We start from the raw sequence: 16,932 nt of genomic DNA, 5'->3' as shown, positions 1-16,932 counted from the left end.
CAAAGAAGCTTACCTGTTACCTGAGTTCCACTGAGCACACGTCATCTTAGGTAGCCCTTAACTGATTTTCTGAACCTGAGTCATACTATCATGGACCCCATGTCTTTCTCCTTTGATTTACTCCCTGCTTTTACTAGAACACACACTGGATGATTTTCTAAGATATGTATTATGGAAATAATGTTTCTGAGTCATTGAATGTCTTTCAGTGTTTTAATTTCCCCCTTATACTTCGTTGATGAGTTGGGTAGATATGGGATTCTGGGTTGAAAAATGATTGTGTCTTGGAATTTTGAAAGCAGCACTCATATTGCCTTTTACCACCCACTGTTACTGATGCTATATTTGGGCGATCTAGCTTTATTCTAGGAAATAGGATAGACACATTTAGCAAATAAAAATACAGAACATCTGATTAAAATTACCTTTCAGATAAACAATGAAATATTGGGGACGTGCTTAATCTAAAAAAAAATTATTCATTGTTTATATGAACTTCAAATTTAACTGGTGTCCTATATTTTATCTGTCAACCCTACAAGGAAAGTTTTTAGTATATTCTCTTTATCCTTGATGTTCTGAAATTTCACAGTATTTTTAATTGTGAGGGTTTTAATTTTTTATTTTTTAAAAGCTCATTATATTAATGCCAAATGTGCCCCATGAAAGAGGGTATAGTTCTTGTTGACATGTTTAGTGGGTGGATCACCACAGTCTACAGGCTCCAGCCCTCTGTCAGCTTGGGTTTGAGGAACCAGAGCAAGAAAAAATATATATAAACAGTTTCATCAACTCCAGAGTTTGAAAATCTTTAGAGAAAATTCCTTTCAGAGCAGAGCCATGGGGAGATTGTAGTCTACTCCCTATAGGACCCTGTAGTCTAGTGGAATTATCTGGTTTCAAACCTGGTCACCCAACTGGCATTTCACACAAGCATCAGTGAACAACTTCAGAAAAGGGCCAAGAGTTCAGGCTAAAGAGCCTTGCTTTGTAAGTGTGAATAATCTGGACACATCCCAGATTTGCCACGTAATTGCCCTGCTGTTAACCTAGCAGAGAGATATACTATCTCCAAAGAAAGAGACAATTTGTTTGTGAGATACATATTTCCTGGGCTTATCTTTGAGTGAACTAGCTAGAAAGTAAGTGATAAGGCAGAGAGATAAGAAATAATCAATTTGGAAAGTAGGGGTAAAATCAGGCAAGGTAAAAATAGGTCAAAGAAATTAGGAGGAGAGCTGCAGAGTCAGTAGAGAGAGGAAGTTTTTTAAAATGACTTCAGCATTGACTAGACATGACCTTAGAAATAATCTAATTCAGCCCCTCATTTTACTAGTGACTATACCAAGGCTAAGAGAGTGGAAGAGACTTGCCAGAGTCATGGAACCTGTTCCCTGATTCCCAGTCCAGTGTTTATCCCACTCTATTGCTGCTGTTGCTTGGGACCTATTGCACAACAGCCCTATTTAATCATCTTGACAGCTTCTGAGAATGATAAACCTTCTCTACAATGATCTCACTCAGCTCAGGCTAGCAGCTTCACCAAATGTCCCATTAAAAGGCAAATGACTCCAGGTGGGGATTTCAGGGAGCTTGGAAAAGATACCCGTAACCAAAAATATTGCCCATACTCACCTACCTATGTGCCTAAAATTATACCTTGAAAATGTTGTTGAAATGCAAATGACTACTTTTTACATTTTGCTTCGATCTTTGTAGAGGCTTCTTAACAAAGAAGGGTTTGATGGTATGTGACACAGGACAAATGCATTTTGATTGGACAGAGGTAGAATGATTAGATGTATTAGGATCCATCAGGTACAAATGGCAGCAGGTGCCTACTTCACCATCACTATTTCATATAAGAACAAAGCAACAGATTGCTTTGTGCTCTAATCATTTTCTTGTCATCAGACTTCACTCTTGGTGTCTGATGTCACAGTAAGATATTTTAGTAGACCTGGTTTCCTTGATTACTTGAATAATTCACATTTTGTATCTGAATATAGGATGCTTTCAGCAGAATAAAGTCCCTTTAAATGGCAATTTTGATTTCAGCATCAAGAATTGCTATGTCTGGAGTCAAACTTGAAAATGTTACTTATCATCCATGAAGGTCATTGCCTTCTTGTCTAAAAGTTAAGGAAGATGAAGTTTGAAAGTTGTCCATTGGTTTTGTCAATGAAGAGAAGATTTTAACCAGAGTAGGTGTAACAAAGTAGTAAAGGCCAAATTAGACTGCTATATTTGTTGTTAGGAAGTGAACCCAGGTGAAAAAGTGATGAGATTAATGTAGACAACTTTTAAGAAGCTTGACTATGACCAAAAAGAGAAAATATTTTATTGAAATGTTTGATTGAGTATTGGTTGGCTGGTTCGTTCATTGGTTGGTTGGTTGGTTGGTTGGTTGGTTGGTTGGTTGGTTGGTTTTTAAAGGTAGGAGACACTTGAGCATTTATTTTAGCTTGGAGGGATGAATCAGGACCTCAGCTCCCTCATCTGCATATTGCAGACATGCTAACCACCATAAACAAAGAGTCTGTCTAAGATCACCTGGCCAATTGGCCAAAGTACCAGAATTAAAATTTAGGTCTTTCAACGCTTTGTTCCCTTGGGCCCATGTTGTCTCTCCATTTTGCAAATATTCTTGGTTTTCAGTGGGTCATAAGAGGATCAGGAGGTCATTTCTATACAAAAGCATTTGCAAAGAGCTGTAAAGTCCTCTTGGGCAGGGCAGGAATAAGGAAAGCAAACACTTGATGAAGTAAACACTTTCCATATGCTAGACACTAGGGTAATCACTTTACTGGTAATAAGTTATTCAAACCTCACAGCAACTGTATGAAGTAGGTAAAGTTATCTTTCTTTCACAGATAAAGAAACTGAGGCTCAAATAAATTAAGTGACTTGCCCACAATCACATGGTTAGTAAGAGCCAAAACAGAGTCTTAACCACTAGATTACACTATCTCAGGGGAATGCAGAGTAATACTGATTTAGTATCACTAATTAATAATATCTTAAATTGTCATAAGTCATTTTTTCTAAGCACAGTCATATTTACTTTCCTTTTTTGTATAATTTTACTTTCAGAGCAACCCTGTGAAACAAGTAAGGTAGAGAACACTATCCCCATCTGAGAGTAAGGAAATTAAAGCACACACTCTCTCTCTCTCCCCCCTCCCCCGCTCTCACACACATACACACAACCATTAGGGAGGGCAATGACAGAGCCTGGGCCAGCTCAGTGGCCAGATTTTCTACAGAGCTACCAAGAGCCTAAAGGGGAGAGATTCACTCCTCTGCTGTCTTTCCCAAGTAGCAACTGGTGTCCAGGGTTGAGAAAATAAACCCATTCCATCAAAATGCCAGAATATAGGCCCTTGAGCTACTGTATCAGAGTTCCAAGTGAGAGGAGTCATAAGTAACAACCAAGCAAACTATTCCCAACTGGAATTAACTCTTAAAGAAAAAATAATCAGAAGCAGGTTTTGACCACTACTAGACTTCTTCCCTCTTCTTTTTTTTTTTTTTTTTTTTTTTTTTTTTCTGAGACAGAGTCCTGCTCTGTCGCCCAGGCTAGAGTGTGGTGGCGCGATCTCGCCAAGCTCCACCTCCCGGGTTCACGCCATTCTCCTGCGTCAGCCTCCCGAGTAGCTGGGACTACAGCCACCCACCACCACGCCTGGCTAATTTTTTTGTGTTTTTAGTAGAGACGGGGTTTCACCGTGTTCGCCAGGATGGTCTTGATCTCCTGACCTCCTGATCCGCCTGCCTCGGCCTCCCAAAGTGCTGGGATTACAGGCGTAAGCCACCGCGCCTGGCCGACTTCTTCCCTTTTCAAAATGACCTACAGTCTCTCGAAATTGTAGGGCTGTTTGGCAAAATAGTAAACACAAGCAGGTCCCACATACTCTTTCTGGTTTGTTTTGTTTGAGACAGGGTCTCACTCTCTTGCCCAGGATGGAGTGCAGTGGCATGATCTTGGCTCAATGCACCCTCCACCTTCCGGGCTCAAGTAATGCTCCCACCTTAGCCTCCCAAGTAGCTGGGACTACAAGCGAGTGCCACCATGCCCAGCTAATTTTTGTATTATTTGTAGAGATGGGGTTTCATCATATTGCCCAGGCTTGTCTCAAACTCCTGAACTCAAGCGGTTCACCCGCTTCAGCCTCCCAGAGTAAAGTACTGCATCTAGCCCAAACATAATCTTTTTTTTTTTTATTTCAAGTTCTGGGATACATGTGCAGAATGTGCAGGTTTGTTACATAGGTATACATGTGCCATGGTGGTTTGCTGCACCTGTCAACCAGTCATCAAGGTTTTAAGCCCCGCATGCATTAGGTATTTGTCCTAATGCTCTCCTTCCCCTTGCCCCCCACCCGCTGACAGGCCCTGGTGTGTGATGTTCCCCTCCCTGTGTCTATGTGTTCTTATGGTTCAACTCCCACTTATGAGTGAGAATATACGGTATTTGGGTTTCTGTTCCTGCCACATCCACTCTTAATACATTAACAAACTATTTTAGAAAGCAGTATCTATCAGTTGAGAAAAGGAACCACTGGTTTGAAAGTTCAGCACAGGTATGATTTGTTGATAATTTTGTGGCAAGGGCTGTACCTTACTCATTTTTGTATCCCTAACACCTATCATGATGTCTGGCAGGTAGTAAGTGCCTAATAAATTTTGTGTAATGATTGATGAACACTATCCAGGATATAATGATGGCCATGTCTACCACCTGTGCTCTAATTCTCAAAACCAATGATTATGCTAATAAAATCTACTTAGTTGGGTAGAAAGAAAATTGAAATGACACCAAACAACTCTGGCCTGAATTTCTCAGGGAATTGCCTCAACTTTTAACTTTTTAAATATTTAACATTCGTAGCATTCTGATTTTAAGAAGCAATTCTCTTATTGCTGAGTAAGTTTCTAGACCAATCTATAAAATTTTTTTATTCTAACACAGAATAATAATAGAGTCCAGTAGCATTATAGAACCATATTCTCATTATGTCAACCCTAATTTGGAATTCCAATATGAGATGGCAGTAAGAGCCCATTTCCTAGAGTCACAGCTTCAGATTCAGGAACTTCTTTTTAACACTCTTTTCATTCTGTCTGACCTTCCACTATGTGTCCCCACCCACCCTGCTCTGCAACTAAATGAAACCTGCTTCTTCTCTTGCTTTCCGAATCTCCATGAGTGGCATCACTAACTACCCAGTTATTCAAGTTTGATGCTCTGGAAACATCCACCCTGAATATTCCCCACACTCCCACAACACACATCCACGCCCACACACATATGCCTAATATGTGTATCAGGTACCAATGATTCTACACCCACTATCACTGTAGTTCAGGACATCATCTTTCTGGACTATTACAAAATGTGTCTGGGTTCCAGAGAGAAGGAAGCCTTAAGTTTTAAGAAGAAGGTAGTAAGCCTTGCCCCTTTTATGCATCTAAAATTTACCTGAAATTGTAAGTTTCATAAGGAAGCACGGCTATATTCAGGACCTTGGAGAGAACCAGACAAAGAAACGGATTTTGAGGAGCAGAAAGCAGGCAAGTGCTGTGCCAAGACCAGGGTTGTAAACAGTTCCAAATGCTGGAGAGAAGTCAGGCTACGAAGTCCAGCCACACAAGTTTTCTTTTTGATCTTTGAACACTTCAAACCCATCTCTGCCTTGAGGCTTTGGCCCCAGGTCTGTTTCCTGACTGGAACCCTTTGCATTGCTGCCCACTTTACACTATTCAGGTTCCCACCCCAATAACTCCACAGAATAGCCTTCCCTTCATCACGTTATCACATTTCCCCATTTTACTTTCTTCATAACAGCGATCACTATTTGAAACCGTCTTTTTTATTCATTTCTGTACTTGACTATTTTCTTCCCAGCTGCCTCAGTAGGTGTAAGCTTTATGAGAGAATAGGCTATGTCTCTGTGATTCACTGTGATAGTGTTAGTGTTTAAAACTGTATCTGATACGCAGAAGCTGCTCATTAAGTATTTGACAAATAAGCAAATGAAATAAACAAGCAATGAGAACAGAAAATTTAATTTGAAGTTGAAGAGACTTTTGAGGACCTTGAACTGAATAGTTTGAGCCGATACCAGACACTTATTTGGGGGTTAATAAATATTTTGGGGTTTGAAGAAACGCATATATAGATGTGTTAGCATGACCCATATAAGAATGGGCATCTAACACACTCATCAGATGGCACTGCCAATACTATGTATCATATGTGTATATATATGTGTGTGTGTATATATTATATATTATATAATATATATTATATATAATAATACATATATTATATATATATACATATTTGAGACAGGTTCTCACTCTGTCACCCTGGCTGGAGTGCAGTGGCAAGATCAACACTATTGCAACCTCTGCCTCCCAGGTTCAAGTGATCCTGCCACCTCAGCCTCCCAAGTACCTGGGACTACAGGTGTGCACCAACACACCCAGCTAATTTCTGTATATATTTTTGTAGAGATGGAGTTTTGCCATGTTACCCAGGCTGGTCTTGAACTCCTGAACTCAAGTGATCCGCCTACCTCGGCCTCCCAAAGTGCTGGGATTACAGGTGTAAGCCACTGCATGCAGGCCTATATTTTAATTTCTAGAATAATTAATACATTTCTAACTAATAAAAAGTAGGCAAAGGCAATCCCTTTTTGGATCGTCTTAAAAGCAACTACTGTTTCCCCATTTAGTCTAGTAAGGGATTTTTATTTTCTCATGATGTCAACTGGAGGCTGACCAAGAAAATAGTTGGGTGATTGTTTGACCACATCATAGAGGTCAGTTAGTAAGAGCCACTGCACTCAAGGCTCTTACTTACAGAATTGTCAGAAAATGAGAAAATCCCGTGGCTGAGGAGCGCGGATACCATTATCCCTGACCATGAAGAAGGCACACACCAGGGTGACGGGGCAAACTGCCCAGGAGTTGAGTCTAGTAAACATGTTTAGTTTGGCCCACACAGTGGTTTTACATTTTTTAGTTGATCACCAACATTTTAAAAATCAGGAGATTTTGCACAAAATTAAAGATTTCCAGCATCTCTTGAAAATTCAGAAGTTTTAGAAATACTGGCCCTTGAATTTCCACATGACCACAACCATCTGACATAGCAACTGCCCCCTTTAAACAGGATTTGTGGTCTCAAGGCTGCTATAGTCTCCCCTCCTCTACCTGTGTAACACCCAGCCTGCTTCACTTATTCATACTGATTGCATGGCCTGGGAACACATTTGAATTTGAGATCCCTTATTATGAAATATAATGATCAGATAATTCTAAGAACTGGGAACATGCAAATTATTAGAAAGAGAAAATATCCATGAATCACAGTGTCCATTTTCCCAAAGAAGCAACTAATTGCGACAGGCATGAAACTTGTAATTGTATGTATTATAAAGATATTTATGAGGATATTGTACACTATTTCACACATTTCTAGGTAAAATGTGTGTTGGGTTTATGTGTGCATGCATGCTTATATGTATGCATATAGTGGGTGCTCAATAAATATTTACTGAATAAATTAATATGAGGTGCAAGAGTGTTCACCAAAATTCTGAACCCTAAAAACACTATGATCTACTGCTACATAATTTACAATTTCTGAATCCACCATGCTTCTCTTTTTTTCTCTTATTTTCCCCCAGTTTCAGCCTAAGACTGAAAATAGAGCAGAGGCTTCATTAAAGTCCATCAATAATTATAAATAAAAGCTGATTAATCAATCATCAATGAGTGTGTTTACATCAGCATGATGAGGTTTCACAGTGCATTCACTGCATTAGTGAAGCCAGGACTTCTGGGTTCTGGCCCTGGCTCTGCCCTTAGCGACAGTGATTCTGTGAGCAAGTCCCTTGGCTCCCTGGTCCAAAGTGTGCTCATCTATAAAATTATATGATATGCAGGGCTCCTCTCTGCTTTATGGTCTCTGTTTTTGTGAAAACAAAGACCTATGAGCCATAAGTTGACTGGAAGCTCAAAGCCATTAGAGTCTAGCAAGGAAAAACCAAGAAGAGATTTTTTTTTCCTCCAATAATTAAGGCAGGAAGGTCTGCAAATGCCTGGACAGTAATTCGTGGAGGGCCAAGGGTGGAACGTGAACTCATTAGCAGGATGTTGAGTAACACTCAGAGAGGAAGAGAGGGTGATGGGAAGGGAGTCCAACTGAAGACAGAATTTTAAAGAGAATGTAAAATAGTGCTGCTAATTACGTCATTTAAAAACTGAACAACTGAGTGTAATTCTTGCTGAAGTAATAAGAAAACAGTCAGGGGATGCATAATAGTTACAAGAATATACGCTAATAGACAAAAACAGGATCCCCAACTAACTTAGGACAACAAACCCCATGTGAGCTAATAGAAGTCAGACGGAAAACAGTACCTGAATTTCAACCCAATCTCACTTGAGTACATAGATTTTAAAGTTATATAAAAGACATACATAATAAGTACTCAGAAAATATTTGTTGAATTATATTACATTTTTAAAACCTCAGGAATACTTCACTATTTAAAAAGTCTAACCTGAAGAAAATGAAAAATATGACACATCTCAGAGTAGTTATTTCTTTTATGAAAGGATTCACTACAAGTATATTTTAAACATAAATATTTTGCCATTAAAATGGTTCTATTTACAAAGATTTTTCACCAACAAACATATATAAACAAGATAGAGTTTAGAATCCATGCTTTATTTAGCTTTGCATCTATTTGGCCTAACACAATATCAGGCACAGACGGATATCAGGCACCAATGGATAGTTAAATAACTTTCAGTAAGTGAATACATATGTTTCGGTTATCTATTGCTGCAAAGAAAACCACCCCACTCTAATGACTTAAAAAGACATTCATGTTCTTATCTCTCACAGTTCCATAGGTTGGCTAGGCTCCATGGGAAGTTCTTCTGTAGTCTTACTTGGGTTCTCACATGTACTTTCCATGAAATGGAAACTCAAATAGCATGGAGCTTCTGGAAGCTCACCTGACATGCTGGGATGACTTGGTCTCTCTCCCTCTTTGTGTATTCTCAGGCCTCTCCCCCTCTATGTGGACTCTCTGTGTGGTCTTTCCTGTAGGGTAGATAGACTTCTTACATTCTTAGGAATCCCAAAAGTACAGAATCAAGACTGTACTCAGAGCTTGATTCTGCCCAGAGCTGGCTGTGTTCCTTCTGCCATCTTCCATTGATTAAAGCAGGCCACAGGGCCAGCCCAGACTCAGTGGGTAAGGGAGGGACAGGAGGGCATGAGTACCAGGAGGCATGGTTCACTGAGGCATGTTTGAGGTGAGCCACCACAATTTTCTCTTGCTTTGGGCCCCAACTTCCCACAGGGCAGAAAGCAGGATTACAGATATGCAGCTACAAATGTGCGCCATTTCTGTGACAAAGGAAGTATGACTCAGAGGCAGAGCTCGAATCCCAGAGGGTGAGACCAAAAGCTGAGCAGAACCACTTCTAAAGAACAAAAGTGAGCCTTCATCAGGAATATCCCTTGCTTCAAGTCAGAAAAATTGGGACATGTGTCAGGCTGGATTTCAGAATTGCTATGAATCAGTGACTGATCATCTCTCCTTTTTTCCCCTCTTTTTGAACAGGAAAGTCAATTGTCATTTTCTTGTCTCATTTTCAACTAACTAAATGTTAGTGAGTGAGATATAGATACTTGTCCTTTTCTTTCCTTGGTCCTTGCAACTGAGAAAATGCACATAAGGAACTTCATCCCAAAAGCCCCATTCTGGGACATGATTTAGTGCACAATATCCTGGACTTCAAGCTGATACCATATTGGAATGAGATTTGCAAGGGTGAGTGTATTTTTTATATAGGAAGTTCACGAATCATGAACAGCCACAGGCAGTAGCTCGTCTCCAAAGATGGCTCCCAATGAGCCACACCTCTCCATGTTCACACTTTTATTGTGAATTCATTAAATTTGGGCTTCCCTGAGATTTGATTTAATTAACAAAAATAGCAGAACTGACATGGTGCCAATTAGAGGCTTATGTGTTATAAGCCTGGAAGCTTCCACGTTTACATTTTTGGAGACCCTGCACCTCCACATAAGAAGTCTGGCTGCCCTTCTGGGAAGACCACATTGAAAGATGACCTGGAGAGGCCACATGGGGAGACACAGGTTCTAAGCCTACAGGAAGAGAGAAAGAGGCCCCACTGTCCCAGCAAACCAGCCAAGCTTCTTTCTGACTATCCCTGCCTAAAAGAACCCAAGAGAGAGGGCAAAAGAACTGCCCAGCTGAGCCCAATCAACTCACAGAACTATAAAATAAGATAGTTGTGTTTAGCCACTAAATTTTAGGATAGTTTACTAATGTAGCTACAGATAACTAAAGTGGCATCAATGAATGAATATGGGCAAATTATATCATTTAAGGAAGTTATATTTTCAAACACTATCCAAAAGTTATTTTCTCTATTCAAGAAATGTCTGTTGGGCCCCTAAACTTGTCAGCTCAGCCCTCTCGGGTTTGGAGGAAAAATGGTGTTTCTTTTGCCCCATTTACATGTTTTCTCCTGAACAATGAGGCTTAGACATAGATCTGAGAAAAAAATCTTTAGTTGGAAGCTGGGAGCTTCCATATCATTGGCTCTAGCCTCCTCTGGCCTTAAGAGAGGCTGTCGTGATGCAATAGCGGCAGGAAGCAGTTGCAGATTCTCAGGGGAGACATAACATGATGAAGGTGGTGTTCAGGAAGGTTCATTTGGCAGCAGAGCACAGATGGGTTATAGGGAGTGTGATGCAAGCTGACCTGAGTCCAAACCAGGGCAGATAGAAAAGAAAAGAACTTGAATAACTACAGAAAATAAAAGAGAAAGGGCTGAAGATTACTCAGACTGGGAGAATAACGGTACCACTAACATAAATATGTAAGAATGTGAGACATTTGGAAAAGGAGTTGTGTGTGGGAATAATTGATCCACCCAGAGTTGGACTTATGCATTTGGACAAGAAGACAACTGAACAGAACCATCTTTTTTAAAAAACTTTATTTTTTATTTTTCCGTAAGTTATTAGGGTACAGGTGGTGTTTGGTTACAAGAGTAAGTTCTTTAGTGGTGATTTGTGAGATTTGGGTGCACCCATCACCCAAGCAGTATACACTGCACCCTATTTGTAGTCTTTTATCCCTCGCCCCCCTCCCACCCTTCCCCCCAAGTCCCCAAAGTCCATTGTATCATTCTTATGCCTTTGCGTCCTCACAGCTTAGCTCCCACATGTCAGTGAGAACATATGATGTTTAGTTTTCCATTCCTGAGTTACTTCACTTAGAATAATAGTCTCCAGTCTCATCCAGGTCACTGAGAATGCCATTAATTCATTCCTCTTTATGGCTGAGTAGTGTTCCATCATATATATCTCTATATATCTATAGATATATATATAGATATATAGAGAGATATATATAGAGATATATATCTATAGATATGTATATAGATATACATATAGATAGATATATATAGATATATAGATACATATATAGATATATATAGATAAATATAGATAGTGGATAAACTATGAGATATATATATCTCATATATATATATATATATCTCCACTTGTTGATTGATGGGCATTTGGGTTGGTTCCACGATTTTGCAATTGCGAATTGTGCTGCTATAAACATGGGTGTGCAAATATCTCTTTCATATAATGACTTGTTTTCCTCTGGGTAGATTTGAAGGCCTAAGAGCCACAGAGTTGAGGGCAAAAGAATATTGATGTCCCAGCTCAAGCCTTCAGGGAGAAAGCCATCAAATCCTCCCTTCCTCTACCTTATTGTTCTATTCTAGCCCTGAAAGGATTATATGAGGCCCACCTACATTGGGAAGGGCTATCTTCTGGGGTTTTTCATTTGTTTGTTTTTGAGACAGGGTCTCACTCTGCCACCCAGGCTGGAGTGCAGAGGCACAATCATGGCTCACTGCAACCTCCACCTCCCAGGCTCAAGTGATCCTCCCACCTAGCCTCCCAAGTAGCTGGGACTACAGGTGCATACCACCATGCCAGCTAATTTTTGTATTTTTTGTAGAGTCAGGGTTTTGCCATGCTGCTCAGACTGGTCCCGAACTCCTGAGCTCAATTAAGTGGCTGGTCTTGGCCTCCCAAAGTGTTGGGATTACAGGCATGAGCCACTACGCCTGGCCAGGGTGATCTTCTTACATAGTAAAAAGATTCAAATGCTAATCTGTTTAGGAAACAGCCTGAAAGAAACAGCCAGAAATAATGTTTAATCAGAGATCTGGGCATCCTGTGATCTAGTCAAGTTGACACACAAAATTAACTATCACAGTCCCTGAATCTCTGCATAGCGATATACATATATAAGTATTATCAAGCTCAAGCTAGTCTTCTGGAGGATAAGATACCACATAGAGCAGAGACAAGACATCCCAGCTGAGCTTTCTTATATTAACCAGCCCCCAGCCAACTCCGCAGCTGATTGTACATGTATAAGACACTAAATATATATAACTGGACCTTGACATGGAAAAGGAATACATCTTTATTGTGTTAAGCACAGAGATTTTTATGTTGCTTATTATACCTGTTACCCCACCTTGACACGGTGGCATGATTTGAAGTCAGTTGACTCCAAAGCCTGTGCTCCCAAAGGATGGAGAGCATGATTGGTGTCCCACCTCCTAGCCTAGGATCTATTATCTATTAATTTCACCCAGCTTTATAGAAAACTGTTCCTAAAATCTCAAAACACATGATCTCACCAGTGGTACTAGACTCTAGAAAAACCTTTGGGGAAATATCTGTGTTTAGTAAGGTTTTACTATACAACAAACCACCCCAAAACCAAGTCTCTTACAACCCAAAACAAACAAACAAACAAACATTATTTTAGCTCACAAATATGAGAATCTGCAATTTGGGCTTGGCTCAGTGGGGCGATTCTGCCAGCCTGGGCCAGGCTCAGCCAATATAAGCTGGATTCCCACACACGTCTGTGATCGGCTGCAGAGCTGGCTGGTTAATCAAATATGGTTCAGCTAGGACAGCTTGTCTCCGTTCCATGTGGTGTCTCTTCCTCCAGCAGGCTAGCTTGAGCTTGATCAAGCAGTGGCAGAGGCAGAGGCTGCAAGAGCAGCAGAAGGATAAACCCTAAAGCACAAGTTCTTTTCAAGCTACTCCCTTTGACAAAAGCAAGACACCTGGCTGTACCAAAAGGCAGTGGGGGAGATCATTATCAAATGCACGAATGCAGGAAGATGGGAACAAATGGGGCCATTACCACTATATACCCAAATAACTCAGGATCCCTGTGCGGGCCAGAACACAAAACAAGTATGTCACAGACTTTAAAGCCTCCAGAGTTATTTCTTCCAGCCTCTGATCTCCAAATCTCCAGCAACTCAACAGTAATAGAATCTATAGGACAGTAGCATCAATTTACTTTTTTGGGAGAATAATAAAACCCATGCTTAGAAAGGAATGACCGATTCGTTGTTTCTGTAACTGGTTTGGCAGAACTCTGGAGGCAGAGGGCTGTCTCTACCTGACAGAAGGATTATTCCTGTGTGTGAGAAATCTTCCTGCAAAAAAGTGAGTCATTACAAGAAGAATGCCAGGCCTCCCTCGTACTCCTCAATGTGGTAAGGAGGATGTGACCAAAACGCTGATGAATACGCTGAATACACTCCCTTTCCCGAAAAGGATGGCAGGAATAAATGAAAGTGCTACTGGATTTGCTGCCCAAGTTGTAACCCAATCTGTTCTCTGCTAAAATGTCCCTTTTGCCTTGAATTTCTGTGTCCAAGCACTTCTCTTTGTGGCTTGCTATTGTTTCTATAAAAATACCTTTCACTTGGCAACATCTAGCCAAGAAAAGCAAAATATCTAACAGAGAAAAACACAGTTTGTCTGTTATTTCAGTGACTTGAGAACAATAATGAGTTGTTATGGTGTGATTTGGGTGCCCCACCAAAATTAGTATGTTAAAGTGTCAACCCCCAGTACTTCAGAATGTGAACTTACTTGGAAATCGGGGCATTACAGATCTGTTGAGATGGGGTCATACTGGATGTGGACACAGGGAGAACTCTATATGATGATATAGGCAAAGATTGGGGTGACACAACAGAAGCCAAGAAAACCAAAGATCGCCAGCAAGCCACCAGAAGCTAGGGGAGAGATGTGGAACAGCCCTCAGAAGGCACCACTCCCACCAACGCCTTGATCCCGTATCTCCAACCTCCAGTACTGTGAGGCAATAAATTTCTGTTGTTTAAGTAATTCAATTTGTGGTAAATTATTATGCTAGTCCTAGCAAGCTAATGAATGAACAACCACCTATGTCATGGGCCCCTTCACATTCAGTCTCTTTTTCACCTCTTGCTCCAAGATTGTTTGTCCCAGTTTCAGATGAAAACACTGAGGCTAGCTTGCCTATGCTCAGTCAGCATGGCCAAAGGCCAGACTCAAGCCCAGGTTCCAGACCCTGTCCATATACTTTCCTTTGCATAGTGTTGCTGTGTGAAGGTTGCTGACAAGGCAAAAATTGGAGCTGCAATTCTAAAGGGAGCTACACCCCCATTGTGCAATAGATTGGTTTCTAAAAGAATTAGTTCTTAATCGATTCCTTATAAACTCAATGATATTTTAAGTGCTCTCACAGAGTTTCCTATTCAAAAGAGCCCTGTGGGAGATCCTTTGGTATAGCTAAGGGTCTTTTTGGATTGTGAATTATCACCTGTCTCCCTTCAAATTTATTTAATTTGCAGGCATAATTTGTTTTTGTATGAGAGTCTTTTGTGAAAGTGGCCCTGCCTTCAATTCTGCACCTCTGCCTTGGCTGGTGGGGGTTCAGTAAATGCTTGCTGTTACCGTTGTGGTTAATGATAGCAATGAAGAACGCCCACAAGTGGCACTGCCTTTTAAATACACGTGGTGTCTGGAATGATTTCCTCCCATTTCAAGCCATTTTGGGCATTTTCAACTTAAACTCATTGCTTGGGTAGAAAAGGGGGAAAACATCATTTTGTTAAATGCCAATGTTTAACTATTAATTACTCAACTATTAGTGAGCTCTGTGTTAGTTACTATTCCAGATATCTAGGTGTTTGTAAATTAGCAGGTACATGTAATTTCTTTTTCTGGGTCTGCCTTTAAGCTGCCTGTGCAGAAAAATTCCCCTGGGGGGTGAGGGTGCCTTTGGCCCAGTGAAGAGAAGACATGTATGGTTGGAGTGAATAGAATCGTATTACTTTAATAACAGCCTCTATTTGGAAGTGCAGGTTCCCAAAGTTTTAGATTAGTTTCAAGGTTCTTTCCTGAAATTGCTTTTATGATTGATTGATTAATTAATTAATTTCTTAAGAATGAGCTGAGTACCTACTAAGTGTCAGGCACCATCCTCAGCCCTGGAGATTCATAGATGAAGAAGACTCCAGCTCTACCTCTCACATCCTCATCGTCTAATGGAAAGATACATGCTTCAGTCAATAACAACACTGAAGTGGTTAAGTGATATACTAGAAGAATGGGGAATGGTGCCTTGGGAGCAAAGGGGGGGAACAAAAGCACTTCACGTTGCTGGAAATGGCAGAATCTGTCTCCCAGAGTTGGTGGCATTCTCACAAAATCTTGAAGGATGAGTAGGAGTATGCCAAATGCATGATTTGATAAAGGACATTTCGAGAAGAAAGAGCAGTGCACTCTTAAGATGCTGCAATGAGAACCTGGTGTTTGGAGACTGGTGGGTGGCTGGACACAGGAGATGATGAGAAAGTAGCAGGAAGTGAGTTTAAAACAGTTGTCTGGGGCAAGATCACAAAGAAGCTCAAAAACTCGTCTCCTCCTAGAAGGGAGAGTGACCTAACTAAATTGAGTGACATGGAAGATGGCCTGAAATGTGAAGAGGCTAGAGGCAGGGAGCTGAACGGGGAGGCACATACTATGAATGGAGGTCTAAGCCAGGGCAGGAGCTGTCGGGATGTGCAGAAGAGCAATAACTTAAACAATAGTAATGAAATGAAATTCTAGAAGCTTGTGACTGGGAGGTGAGAGAGAGGAAGAGTCTGGGATGACTGCACGTCCCTGGCTTGGGTATCCAGGTGTACTTACCAAAACTGGATGGTCCAGGCACAGAAGCAAACTAATGTGATTCATTCTGAGTATATTTAGAATGCAGAAACTGTAAGGAAGCTTTCAGAAGTGAGATTTCTACTCACTCCTTCAAGGGTAATTTGGGACCTGCTTGCTCATTCTGACCTAGCAACCCTTAGAAAGTTGTACCTTGAATCACAGAACAAATGAGTTTAATTTGCATTCACATAAACAGGAAGCACTGGCCCTTAACAACCAACAACCAAGAGGAGTTATCTATCAGGTTCTCAGTTACACATAGCAGAACCGCCTCCATTTACCTTAAGCAGAAAAAGAATTTATTAAAAGATATTGGGTAGCTCAGAAAACCTCCAGGAGGGTCAGAAAGCCAGGCTTGGAGGTAACATGATCAGGGAAAACACTTGGACCACACTGTGGTTGGCTCCAACGGAGACCACAGCCCTGATACTGGGCCCTGGAAGCCCAAAACTCTGCCTCTGTTACCCCTAACAACCAAGTGCCCCATAGTTATCCTCATCAGAAAATGGTTACAGCCCTTGCTTCCTCACTCTGTTCTTTCCCTAATTGAAGTCTTCCATCCATGGGTCTGATTGGCAAAACTTGGATCTGGTAAATATGCTCTAGCTGCAAGGAAGTGGGAAAGCAAATATCTGGCTTTCCTTTTAAGGAGGTGAGATTTACAATGCAGAAAATGTCCTAAACATAGGAAGGGTTTCAGAACATGCTGATTAGAAAACAGACAGATAGTGCCGCAGAGGGCTACTGTTTAAGCAAAAAGATAG

At 40.8% G+C, this 16,932-nt stretch overlaps 1 long non-coding RNA gene across 1 annotated transcript in view, besides 1 other annotated feature; it reads right to left on the bottom strand.

Annotated features, from left to right (window-relative positions):
• The window catches only part of LOC112268276 (uncharacterized), a 175,024-nt gene that overhangs the window by 142,120 nt on the left and 15,972 nt on the right, over positions 1-16,932 (bottom strand). The window lies entirely within an intron of this gene.
• Positions 16,204-16,333: a silencer, noted in NCBI's record as "silent region_1510". NCBI's record gives its function as "represses an Ori minimal core promoter by ATAC-STARR-seq in GM12878 lymphoblastoid cells {active_cell/tissue: GM12878}" and the evidence as "EXISTENCE:reporter gene assay evidence [ECO:0000049][PMID:35858748]".

This window comes from Homo sapiens, chromosome 1, assembly GCF_000001405.40.
Source record: "Homo sapiens chromosome 1, GRCh38.p14 Primary Assembly".
In the NCBI taxonomy this organism is placed as follows: domain Eukaryota; kingdom Metazoa; phylum Chordata; class Mammalia; order Primates; family Hominidae; genus Homo; species Homo sapiens.
This window is presented reverse-complemented; position numbering and strand designations above follow the sequence as displayed.